This window comes from Homo sapiens, chromosome 1 (genome assembly GCF_000001405.40).
Source record: "Homo sapiens chromosome 1, GRCh38.p14 Primary Assembly".
NCBI lineage: Eukaryota > Metazoa > Chordata > Mammalia > Primates > Hominidae > Homo > Homo sapiens.
The window spans coordinates 39297330-39310507 of NC_000001.11; the positions used below are offsets into that span (position 1 = coordinate 39297330).

The window sequence follows — 13178 nt, forward strand, 5'->3', positions numbered from 1 at the left end:
TGCTGTACCTAGCCAGAAGTCAAGAGGAAAGAGCAGTGATTTCTGAGGGGGTGAAACAGGCTAACTTTTCGGTAGGGTAGGGTTTGGGGTAGTCAGCACTAATATTTTGCTGCATGGCTTTTTAAGCCCTTCGGTTTATGTTTCAGTGGTCCTTGTAATAAACTGTCACTAATGCAGTAGGGTGTAATCAGCTTTGCTAAGCTCTGCACAGTAAAATTGTTCTTTCTTAGTTAATATTCCGGTGTTCTAATGTTTTGAGCAGAAGGCATCCTTACTTTGTATTCCCATAGTTCTTCAGTGATGCACGAGAGCTGGAGTCATTCTTGAGGAACCTCCAAGATTCCATTAAACGAAAATATTCCTGTGACCACAACACCAGCTTATCCCGCCTTGAAGACCTGCTCCAGGACTCCATGGTGGGTGTTGCCTCAGTGGGGATGATTACTTCTGAGAAAGAGAGTAAACCATATCAGCTGCTGCTGTTTATATCCTTGAAAGCTCCAGGGCAATGGGCCATTGTTGTAATAAAGTTTGGCTTACATTCAAATAGAGTTTAATCGATGTTGTTCTGTCTCTTTCCTTTTTTTCCTTTTCTTTTCTTAAATAAGTTGCTAATAAGATTTCTTTGGGTATGTTATTGAAGTAAAGGCCTAGTCTTCTCCTCTGAGCCACTTTGAGCTCATTGTACTTTCTTTGCATTTTTCTTATTTTAATGTAATAGTTGGAGCCAAGGATGAGGTGTTGAGCATGAAGAAAAGGTTGAAGGGGATTAGTTGATATCAAATTCTTTTTTACTCTCTTATGCAAAAAAAAAACCAACAACAACAACAAAGAAATACACCTGAGTCAAAATTTTCCTCCTTGGTAGTTTTCTTTTGGATGATAATTAAAATTGATTTTAATTCAAAGAAACATTAAAATCTTATTTAGATGTAATATTTGTGCAGTTATTTATGAAGCAATATTAATTTTTAAGAAATAGTTTTACATTTAGTATTTAGTTCAAATCAATTTTATATTCTTTTTCTCCAATGAATTATTTCTTCAGGAGTGCTGGTAATTAAATTAGCAGAAAGACTACTTATATTTAGTGAATGTATATTACACAGAGTTGGCAAGACAAGGCTCAAGCTACATCTCAAATTAAAATAGAAATGTATATGCAATAGGGAACTTACTTTTCCTTTGTGAGAAGTAAGGGGAATCTCGCATTTCAATAGAAAAGTCTGAATAAGAGAACTAGAATAACCCAAAACAGTTCATTTTTTTTGTCGGTAAAATTTGAGCATTTGTGAATTTAAGTTTTTTTATTTTTATTTTTTTACACTTTCAGGTATTGTAAACCTATGAGTGGTTTTACATTCACCTGGGCAAATAATCTGTTAATTTAATTAATTTGGAATGAAGGATGAAAACCTGACTTTTCAGATGTTGTCTCTAAAATGTCTCTCTCAGAGGTACTGCAAGTATGAAGGAGGAATATAATCATTGGCTATTATCTCCTCCCTCCCACAGAGTACCTTCTGTCATAGGGTAACTCCTCTGCAGTGGTTGTCATATCTTCTCTTCTCGAGGGTCGCTGCTCTGTTCCCTCCTCTCCAGGTCAGGGTCATCGGGTTGGCGGCGTCATCGGGGCATGGAGTCACCTGGGTCTGCTCCTCAGCTTGTCCGTCAGGTTCGGGAGCATCTGTCCTGGCTTCTGGTTCTTTTCAGAACTTTTACCACGCTGAGCACTTGGTCTCTGGAGCTTGAGCTGTTTGGCTGTGGGTTAGACAGAAATTGACATCTTATTGCAAGGAAACTGAAATGGGTAGACCAGCTCTCAAGTATGGAAATGTGGCTGTCTCCCTGATATATTCCATTCCTCTTTCTTAACTAATAAGTTAAAGTTGTATTTCTTCCAATCATGCTCCCGGGGACAGGCACAGGTAGTTTATTTAAGCATTTCTTTTTCTTTACTTGCATATTCTTAGTTCTTTAATGGCATTTCCTAACATTATTAACTCTTTACTCTCATCGCATCTACATCCATCCTAAGAAAGCCCTCTTCTGGGGAGACTTTTATACCTCAAAATGGGCTTGAAACATCCGGGTTAATGGACAAAGTTTATCTTTTACTCTTTAATGGAATTGGTAATGGTTTACTACCAATTTTGTTAACAAGAAGTTTATTCATTTTTAAGATTATTGGATTTGCAGAGATTTGAGAGTTTCAATTTTGCATGATACTTCTTTCTAACCAATCAAATTTATATGAATATAGCACAGCAAATACTAAGAGGTAAACCCTAAATCATTTGTCATGATACCTTCACCAACAGCATTGTTGGTTGAAGAGCTAAGATCTTTCTCTAGAAAGCTTGACTCAATTTAGGAAAATAAAATATTTGGAGTAGAGCTTGGGAGATATAATTATTTTTAAAAATTTAAATAAGTATAACTAGCTTCTCCTAAGCAGAAAGGGAAGAACTGGTTTCTACCAGTGAGAAATTGACTAATAATAATATACCTATTATTGATTTTAACTTTCATGTTCTCTGAATCATGTTTAGATAGATTTTTTATTAGCTTTGTAGCTGTATTTGGAAGCTAGAAGTATTTGTTTTTATTTTGATTTTTGCATGTGACTTTATGGTTCATTGAAAGTGGCACAGGGAGAAAGCTGCAAAGTTTGAGTGCGAAAGCACTTGGTAGAAGACAGAAGCATTCTCTCCTTTTTTCTTTATCATTGTCTAAGTCTTTAAGATGGCTCCACCAACCATCCCTACTTAACTGAGAGATGACATTCTCTGAGGGAGTGGAGTATTCAGTTTTCTTTGTTGACTTAGTCACCCTGAGTAGCAGCATTAATGTCATTTTGTTTTTCTTATCATTTTGTAGGATGAAAAGGAGCAGCTTATACAGTCCAAGAGTTCCGTTGCCAGTCTCGTTGGGAGATCAAAAACCATCGTTCAGCTAAAACCACGCAGTCCAGACCATGTGTTAAAGAACACCATTTCTGTCAAGGCTGTCTGTGACTACAGGCAGATCGAGGTGAGGAGGTAGAAAGGGTACCTCTGGGCCACAGGGGGAAGGAAGAAAGAAGGGAAGCCTTCAGTTAGGGTTATGATGATAAAAGATCAAATTACAGCGTTTTTAAAATTAGAATTTAAACATGCTGAAGTCTCTCCTATCATTTAAAAAAAAAAACTAAACTAAAAACTTCAACACTATAATCTTGACCTGCTCCCTGCCTCAGTGATTGGCATCATTATCTACTCAGTTGCCTAAGTGTTGACAGAGATGGTACTTTGTAGCACTTGGGAGATATCCTTGACTCCCCCACCCCTCTTATCCTCCACAGCTAATAGGACCATCAAGTTTGTACTAATTTGTAAATATCCCTTAAACGTACTTTTTCTATCCCTGCTAATATTACCCTAAGAGCATAAGTGGCTGGGTGGAGAGGCTCATGCCTGTAATCCCAGCACTTTAGGAGGCTGAGGCACATGGATCACTTGAGCTCAGGAGTTCAAGACCAGCTTGCGTCTCTGCAAAATATACAAAAATTAGCCAGGTACAGTGACTTGCAGCTATAGTCTACTCGGGAGGCTGAGACAGGAGAATCGCTTGAGCCGAGGAAGTGGAGGTTGCAGTGAGCCAAGATCGCACTGTTTGCACTCTAGCCTGAGTGAAACTCTGTCTCAAAAAAAATAAAAGGCATAAGTTTCTTTCACTTGGATTATTGTGTCAGCCTCCCCATTTAGTGCACAAAGGATCCTACCACCAGCATGTTCTTTTTTTAATTTTAATTTTATTTATTTATTTATTTATTTGAGATGAAGTCTCGCCCTGTCGCCCAGGCTGGAGTGCAGTGGCACGATCTCAGCTCACTGCAAGCTCCGCCTCCCGGGTTCATGCCATTCTCCTGCCTCAGCCTCCCAAGTAGCGGGGACTACATGTGCCCGCCACCATGCCCGCCTAAGTTTTTGTATTTTTAGTAGAGATGGGGTTTCACTGTGTTAGCCAGGATGGTCTCGATCTCCTGACCTCTTGATCCACCCACCTTGGCCTCCCAAAGTGCTGGGATTACAGGCGTGAGCCACCGCGCCCAGCCTATTTTATTTTATTTTTTGAGACGGAGTCTCGCTCTGTGGCCCAGGCTGGAATGCAGTGGCGCCATCTCAGCTCACTGCAACCTCTGCCCCCTGGGTTCAAGTGATTATCCTGCCTCAGCCTCCCAAGTAGCAGGGACTACAGGTGTATGCCATCACGCCCAGCTAATTTTTTGTATTTTTAGTAGAGACGGGGTTTCACTGTGTTAGCCAGGATGTTCTCGATCTCCTGACCTCATGATCTGCCTGCCTCAGACTCCCAAAGTGCTGGGATTACAGGCATAAGCCACTGCGCCCAGCGTTTGTTTGTTTTTTTTTTCCTTTAAATAACAATCCTATGCTTAAATCTTATAATAATTACTCATTGCTCTTGGGAAAAAGCCGAAACTCCTTAATGTGGCTTTAAGTTCTTGAGTAATCTGTCTTTACCTCTCTAGCCAAGACTGGGTCATATCCTTTATTGCCTGGTAAATTGCATTTGTCACACAGTATTATAACTACATACACCACCAGAATATGTGGAAATACAGACTATGCTTGTCTGCTTACCACTGTACCTATTTATTTATTTATTTATTTATTTATGTTTTGTGACAGGGTCTGACTCTGTGGCCCAGGCTGGAGTGCAGTGGCACTATCATGGCTTACTGCAGCCTTGACCTCCCTGGGCTCAGGTGACCCTCCCACCTCAGCCTCCCGAGTGGCTGGGACTACAGGCATGCACTACTATACCCGGCTAATTTTTGTTATTTTTTGTAGAGATGAGGTTTTACTATGTTGCCTAGGCTGGTCTTGAACTCCTGGGCTCAAGCAGCCTGCCTACCTTAGCCTTCAGAAGTGCTGGGATTATAGGTGTGAGCTGCTGTGCCTGGCCAATTGTACTGTTTTTATCTCCAGTGTCCTAGCACATAGTAGACACTCAAGAAATATGTATTATACAAAAGAATGAATGAATTAAGAAATGGAAAAAAAATTTAAAAATGGGACTGTGCTTTTGTGTGTCTCGATATTTCTGCCTGTAAGTTAGGGATAATAGTCTTGATCACTTGCCTCTAAGAGAAAGACTTGATAATTCCAAAATGCTTAAACATTTTCAGGGGTTTGGGTGGGATGATAGGAAGTAGGGAGAGGAAATATCATAAAAACAATGTTTTGATTATTCACCTTCCATTAGTTTTTACTCTAGTAGATTTTTGTGCTGAGATCGCTCTTGAGCCTTTATAGTCTTATTATAACTTTCATAGTCTGGGTTACTTGACATGTAACAGGTATTTAATACATACTTATTTCCTTGATTTATTTGGTGTCACAGTTTTTCCTGTGTTGTAGATTTATACCCATTATCTTTTGGCAAAAATCAGAAGCCCTCACTAAGTGATAGCAGATCTTTTCTTAAGCAGATTTTTTTCTTAAGGATTTGATAGCTTTGGGATGAGGCACCAGGAAATAATGGGTTGTTGGTTTATCCATTAGCAATCACTGGTAAATTTATCTCTTCAGATTACTATTTGCAAAAATGATGAATGTGTGCTAGAAGATAATTCTCAGCGGACCAAATGGAAAGTGATCAGCCCCACAGGGAACGAGGCAATGGTGCCGTCAGTCTGCTTCCTCATCCCCCCACCCAATAAGGATGCCATTGAGATGGCCAGCAGGTAACTTGGCTCAGCTGCCACTGGTACACCCACCTCTGCTGTTGGCCTCGGTGAACCAGTGGAGGGATGAGTGTGCATTTGTGATGTTTTTGAACACAGTGGTAAAGTTCCTCCTGGGAGAGGCTTCTCATTGGAGATATCAAGTCTCCTACTACCAGCCACATAGTAGATCTTCAATAAATACTTCTGTTCAGCTGGAGTATCTTCAGTGATATTTCTTTTTTAAAGAACTCCTGGTTATAAATAGTTTACTCTCAGAAGATTGATTTTTTTACCAGCCTGGTCAACATGGTAAAACCTCATCTATACTAAAAATACAAAAATTAGCTGGATGTGGTGGTGCACGCCTGTAGTCCCAGCTACTTGGGAGGCTTAGGCATGAGAATTGCTTGACCAAGGAGGCGGAGTTTGCAGTCAGCTGAGATTGCGCCACTGCACTCTAGCTGCCTGGGCAACAGAGCGAGACTCTGTCTCAAAAAAAAAAAAGATTGGGCTGGGCACAGTGGCTCATGTCTGTAATCCCAACACTTTGGGAGGCCGAGGGAGGCGGATCACTTGAGGTCAGGAGGTCAAGACCAGCCTGGCCAACACGGTGAAACTCCATTTCTACTAAAAATACAAAAAAAAAAAAAAAAATTTGCCGGGCGTGATGGCAGGCCCCTGTAATCCCAGCTACTCGGGAGGCTGAGGCAGGAGAATCAGAGAATCGCTTGAACCTGGGAGGTCGAGTTTGCAGTGAGTCGAGCCGAGATTGCACCACTGCACTCCAGCCTGGGCGACAAAGGGAGACTCCGTCTCAAAAAAAAAAAAAGGTTGATTTTTTTCTGGGTCATTAGTTATCATTAGTTTATTATAAAAGAGATATGGAAATTATTTACATGATGAAAGATTTCAGAACTTCAGTGGAATGGGCAGCTTCACGTTGATGCCATTTCTTTCTTTTTTTTTTTTTTAATTATACTTTAAGTTCTAGGGCACATGTGCACAATGTGCAGGTTTGTTACATATGTATACATGTGCCATGTTGGTGTGCTGCACCCATTAACTCGTCATTTACATTAGGTATATCTCCTAATGCTATCCCTCCCCCCTCCCCCCACCCCATCCCCCCACCCCACAACAGGCCCCGGTGTGTGATGTTCCCCTTCCTGTGTCCAAGTGTTCTCATTGTTCAATTCCCACCTATGAGTGATGCCATTTCAGTAGTGACTTATTTCACTCTACGTGCTTTCCAAGAATGTCACCGTCTCTAAATAGGAAATAATCCTTGTCATCTAGAACTACTTTGGTGCCTCCATATTGTGGGAGAAGAACTTTATCTCCAACTTTCCTGCTAACTGGTTGACCCTCTCCACCCTTTCCTTTAGAACCTGATCCAACAGCGACTACTGTTGCTTGAAATACTTTTCCTTGAGATTTTTCTGGAAGCATAATGCCTCCTTTGGTTACAGTTTCAGCAACACTCCTTTCAAATTTTCTTTTCTTTCTTTTTTTTTTTTTCTTGAGACAGAGCCTTGCTCTGTCGCTCAGGCTGGAGTGCAGTGGCACTATTTCAGCTCACTGCAAGCTCCGCCTCCTGTGTTCACGCCATTCTCCTGCCTCAGCCTCCTGAGTAGCTGGGACTACAGGCGCCCGTCACCATGCCCTGCTAATTTTTTGGATTTTAGTAGAGACGGAGTTTCACCATGTTAGCCAGGATGGTCTCGATCTCCTGACCTTGTGATCCACCCACCTTGGCCTCCCAAAGTGCTGGGATTACAGGCGTGAGCCACTGTGCCCGGCCTGAGTGGAAGAAACTTTCTAAACGTTTGTCCTGCCATGACTGTCTCTGTCTCAGACTCTGAATTTTTTTTTTTTAATGGCAGCTGATTTTCTTTAATTTTTATTAAAGTAATATATGGGCCGGGCACCATGGCTCACGCTTGTAATTCCAGCACTTTGAGAGGCTGAGGTTATTGGATTACTTGAGGTCAGGAGTTCGAGACCAGCCTGAGCAACATGGTGAAACTCCGTCTCACTAAAAATACAGACAATTAGCCTGGCGTGGTGGTGCATGACTGTGGTCCCAGCTACTTAGGAGGCTGAGGCAGGAGAATTGCTTGAACCCAGGGTGTGGAGGTTGCAGTGAGCTGAGATAGTGCCACTGCACTCCAGCCTGGGTGACAGAGTGAGACTCTGTCTCAAAAAAAAAAAAAAAAAGTGTGTGTGTGTATATATATGTATATATGTACATATTTTAGAAAGTTGGGTTATACTGCAAAGTTTATTATAATAAAAATTAGCTATCACCTCTCCTTTCCCAAAGTTCCACATTCCAGAGTCAAGTGTTTTCAGCTGTTTTAGCAGATTTTGCTGGGTTATAAATCCACATTTCCAAATGTAATTTTTTCCTGCTATTTCCTTGTTTGTTTTCAACTTCAGAAATTATCTATTAACTTCTTACTCTAGGAAATTAACATTTAGCTTTCTATGCACACATATATGCAAACACTTCTTCCGTTTTCCAAATGTGGTTATGTCACAGTTTTTGTTTAAGTTGCTATTTTTGTTTTATTAGTACATGTGTTGTTTAAAGCTGAGCCACATCTTACTCTAGGGGACTATTGTGAGGCGACTGTGCCTTACCTCTCTGAACTCATCCTCTGCTACTCTCCTTGCTTGTACTTAGCTGCAGTCACTCTGGTCTTTCCTCTGTTTCTCACACACAGACAGCATATTCTTGCCTCAGGGCCTTTGGACTTCCTGCTTGCCTCTGATATTTACATGTTTCACTCCCTCACTTTGTTCAGTTTATCTTAGAACCCTCATGGACCACCATCCCCACTAACTGCATGCCACTCTCTGTCTTCTTTACTCATTTTATTTTTCTTCAGAACTCTTAATACTGCCTAACAGATTGTGTGTTTGTTTATTCTCTCCTATTAGAGATTTTTGTCCATTTTGTTTACCTCTGTATCTTTAGCACTTAGAACCATTCCTAGCACATAGCAGGTATTCAATAAATGGTTATTGAATGAAAGAATGAATGAGTAGGTGAGTGAATATATTTATGAATAAATTATTTTATTTACTTTCTTTACTTTTTTTTTTTTTTGGTTTGAGACGGAGTCTCCCTCTGTCGCCCAGGCTGGAGTGCAGTGGTGCAATCTGGGCTCATTGCAACCTTTGCCTCCCGAGTAAGTGGGATTACAGGTGTGTGCCACCACGACTGGCTAATTTTTGTATTTTTAGTAGAGACGGGGTTTCACCATGTTGGCCAGGCTGGTCTCGAACTCCTGACCTCAAGTGATCCACCCACCTCGGCCTCTCAAAGTGTTGGGATTACAGGCGTGAGCCACTGCACCTGGCCCCTGTTTTATTTACTTTCTTATATAATTTTTGTTTCCTTGGAGTGGGTAATTGTTTTGTTTTTTAGTTTGCTTAGTTGTCTCCAAACTCTCCTACATTACTGTAAAAGGATTCCCAATATGGCCAAACACCACAGGCAATTTTCATTTTTCTTTTGGAAACATTTATTCTGGACCATTCTATCTTTTTTTTTTTTTTTTTTAGTCCGGACCTGTTCTGTAGGCCTGATTCAGTCAGTACTGTCTCTGTGATACGTGGACCCACTAATTACTAGATTCCAAGTCTTATTTATTAGTGTACTCCCTGGTTTGGTGGATTACACTCTCCAATGCCTTACTGAAAAAGGCTGAGTAGGAGGTAAATTTTTTGAAACCTCTTATATCTGAAAATGTCTGTCTTCTTCTTCCTCTAACTGGCAAGATACATTTTTTGAAATTATTATTATTATTATTATTATTATTATTATTGAGATAGAGTCTTGCTGTGTTGCCCAGGCTGGAGTGGAGTGCATGGTCTTAGCACATGGCAGCCTCCACCTCCTGGGCTCAAGTGATTCTCCTGCCTCAGCCTGCCAAGTAGCTGGGATCACAGGTGCATGCCCCCATTTCCGGCTAATTTTTATATTTTTAGTAAAGACAGGGTTTCACCATGTTGGCCAGGCTGGTCTTGAACTCCTGACCTCAAGTAGTCTGCCCGCCTCGGCCTTCCAAAGTGCTGGGATTACAGGTGTGAGCCACCATGCCCGCCTGGAAATTATTTTTACTCTGAACTCTGAAATCATTGCTCTATTGCTTTCTAGCTTTCAGGATTTCTTGTTTAGATGTATAGTGCCATTTTCATTCTTTCTCTTTTTTTTTTTTTAGATTTACATAATAGTAAAACTCATCTTTTGTCATAAGCAGTACTATTGGTTTTGACAAAGGCTTAGAATTGTTTATCGTTCACCACTATCATGATACGGAACAGTCTGATACTTTTACCTTTTGAAAGAAATCTTTATTTCTCTGCAAGTGTTTAAGTGCTTCTCTTTGTCTCTAATCTTTAAAAGGGATGCTGTACCTTTGAGTCTTTTTGCATTCATTATGCTAATGAACACAAACTAGAAACTCGTCTTTCAGGTCTGGAGAAGTTTTTTCTTGGATGATGATGATTATTATTATTATTTTGAGACAGTCTCGCTCTGTCGCCCAGGCTGGAGTGCAGTGGCGCGATCTTGGCTCAGTGCAATCTCTGCCTCCTGGGTTCAGGCAATTCTCCTGCCTCAGCCTCCCGAGTAGCTAGGACTACAGGCACACACCACCACACCCAGCTAATTTTTTGTACTTTTAGTAGAGACGGGGTTTCGCCATGTTGGCCAGGCTGGTCTTGAACTCCTGACCTCGTGGTTCACCTGCCTTAGCCTTCCAAAGTGCTGGAATTATAGGCATGAGCCACCTTGCCCAGTCTGGATTATTTCTCTTTTCTTTCTTTCTTTCTTTTTTTTTTTTTTTTTTTTTGAGATGGAGTCTCGCCGTGTCGCCCAGGCTAGAGTGCAGTGACGCAATCTCGGCTCACCGCAAGCTCTGCCTCCTGGGTTCACTCCATTCTCCCGCCTCAGCCTCCCGAGTAGCTGGGACTACAGGCATCTGCCACCACGCCTAGCTAATTTTTTATATTTTTAGTAGAGACGGGGTTTCACCATGTTAGCCAGGATGGTCTCAATCTCTTGACCTCGTGATCTGCCCTCCTCGGCCTCCCAAAGTGCTGGGATTACAGGCGTGAGCCACCACGCCAGCCTTATTTCTTTAATTATTTCATTCTCCTTGTTTTTAGTTCTTGCTTTTAAGAATTCCCATTTGTTGAATGTTGGACCTCCTGAACTAATTTTCTAATGTTCTCTTATTTTCTATTTTTTTTGTTGTTGCTTTTTTATATTTTTATTCTTCTTTGGGATTTCCTGAACTTTGAATTTCAACTCTACTGAAATTTTAGTGGGAGTTTTGGAGAGAGGGAAGATTAAACTTACGGATTTAATGCCTCCTATTTAACTGATGTCCTGGCTTCTAGTTTTCCATCCTGTTCTTTATATCTCACATTTTTTTCTCAACTTGAAGAAATTCAAGGTAACGTGGTGGGTATGTAAGAGAGTGTGTCTGTGTATTTGTGTATTTGTAAGTCTTCCTGAAATCAAGATTGAATTAGACATGAGATGCTTGGGAAAGAAATCTCAAACCCTTCATACTTCAGTTTTCTTTTTTTTTTTTCTTGAAATGGAGTTCTGCTCTTGTTGCCCAGGCTGGAGTGCAATGGTGCGATCTTGGCTCACTGCAACCTCCACCTCCCGGGTTCAAGCGATTCTCCTGCCTCAGCCTCCCAAGTAGCTGAGATTATAGGCATCTACCACCACACCTGGCTAATTTTTGTATTTTTAATAGAGATGGGGTTTCTCCTTGTTGGTCAGGCTGGTCTTGAACTCCCGACCTCAGGTGATCTGCCCGCCTCAGCCTCCCAAAGTGCTGGGATTACAGGTGTGAGCCATGCAGTTTTCTTTTATATACCAGGTGAATTTCTTAAGCTGCTATTAATTTCTCAACATTTTAGCATTTTTGTAAATATTTGGAACACAGCAAATCAGTTTTTAAACATTGATATAATCCTTTTTCAACAATTCTGGATGGGATGTTGTTTATGCCTTTCCCTATTATTGTTCTCTCTGGTTATTTCTTCTCTCTGGCTTGTAATCATCATATTATATCCAGGTAACATTTATGAGATTACTAAATATGTGCTAACGTTAATATGCATAATGCTGTAGCAAATCCAAGTTGAAGATCTCAATTAATTAATGTAGTTTAGTTTTTTTTTTTTTTTAAATAGAGATGAGGTCTCACTATGTCGCCCAGGCTGCTCTTGAACTCTTGGGCTCAAGCAGTCCTCCCACCTTGGCCTCCAAAAGTTCTGTGATTACAGGCATGAGCTACCACGCCCAGCCTCAATTAATTTAGTTCTAAAAATTCCTGAGATGCTAGTATTTGACTTGTTGCCTTTCTCTGCTCAACATATAAGCTCAATTCTGCTAAGGCAATCACATTTTTCCTTAGAAGGTCTCTAATGTGGAGCTGAAGTCTTACAAAGGTAATAGTCAGGTTCTGTGTTATTTCTAGGGTCGAACAATCTTATCAGAAGGTTATGGCCCTTTGGCATCAGCTGCATGTTAACACCAAAAGCCTTATCTCTTGGAACTATCTGCGTAAAGACCTTGACCTTGTACAGACCTGGAACCTAGAAAAGGTAATTATGAAAACCTTACCCCAGGCTTACATTCCATTGGCAAGATTTTTTCAGAAGGAGCTTTTTTCATTACTGTGAGACTTTTCCCCACCCAAATGGAGTAAAGTGGACTCAGGAATACCATTTTAGAGTTCGAGACCTGAGGTTCTTACAAGCTAGAAGCAGCAATTTGAATGGTAAAGGAAATTCCTAATTAGAATAAGTAACATCTTTGGTCTTCTTGGCAAGGGTAGAAGGTTGCAGGCTTTTTCTCACTCTGTAAGACAATCATGTCTTTTGCATAAGAATATGTAGTAGGTGAATACTTGTGAACAATTATTAAGAGTTATGTCCAGTGGGGCACAAAGGGTGGTTCTGGGGTGCTGGTAATGTTCTGCTTCTTAATCTGAATGCTGACTAAATGGAGGAATTCAAATTATAAAAATCAACATGTTTACGATTATGGTTTATGCACTGTTTTGTATATATGTTACTTCAGTAAAATGGAGGAAAAGAGGAAGTGTTACATTTTTATTCTGTTGCAATTTCTTCTGGCTTTTTCTTTCTAGCTTCGATCCTCAGCACCAGGGGAGTGCCATCAGATTATGAAGAACCTTCAGGCCCACTATGAAGACTTTCTGCAGGATAGTCGTGACTCTGTGCTGTTCTCAGTGGCTGATCGCTTGCGCTTGGAAGAGGAGGTGGAAGCTTGTAAAGCCCGCTTCCAGCACCTGATGAAGTCCATGGAGAATGGTGTGTGCACTGGGAAGAGGGAAAGAGAATAGTAGAATGAGAGCCTTTCAAGGGGTTGCTGTGAAACCCTTCATATAAA

At 40.9% G+C, this 13178-nt stretch overlaps 1 protein-coding gene and 1 pseudogene across 2 annotated transcripts in view, besides 1 other annotated feature; one reads left to right on the forward strand and one right to left on the reverse strand.

The window, feature by feature from the left end:
- Positions 1 to 13178, forward strand: part of MACF1 (microtubule actin crosslinking factor 1) — a 402972-nt gene that overhangs the window by 213163 nt on the left and 176631 nt on the right. For both annotated transcript variants that reach the window (NM_012090.5, NM_001394062.1), the window contains 5 exons: positions 291 to 416; positions 2881 to 3033; positions 5595 to 5749; positions 12241 to 12367; positions 12916 to 13099. In NM_012090.5, the coding sequence (NP_036222.3) occupies positions 291 to 416; positions 2881 to 3033; positions 5595 to 5749; positions 12241 to 12367; positions 12916 to 13099 (745 nt within the window). The remainder of the gene's footprint in view (positions 1 to 290; positions 417 to 2880; positions 3034 to 5594; positions 5750 to 12240; positions 12368 to 12915; positions 13100 to 13178) is intronic.
- Positions 1566 to 1722: a silencer, noted in NCBI's record as "fragment chr1:39764567-39764723 (GRCh37/hg19 assembly coordinates)". NCBI's record gives its function as "represses an EF-1alpha promoter that drives an FKBP-Casp9 reporter gene in an ReSE screen in phorbol 12-myristate 13-acetate-treated (for megakaryocytic differentiation) K562 erythroleukemia cells {active_cell/tissue: K562(+PMA)}" and the evidence as "EXISTENCE:reporter gene assay evidence [ECO:0000049][PMID:32094911]".
- HSPE1P8 (heat shock protein family E (Hsp10) member 1 pseudogene 8) lies at positions 6574 to 7590 on the reverse strand (annotated as a pseudogene).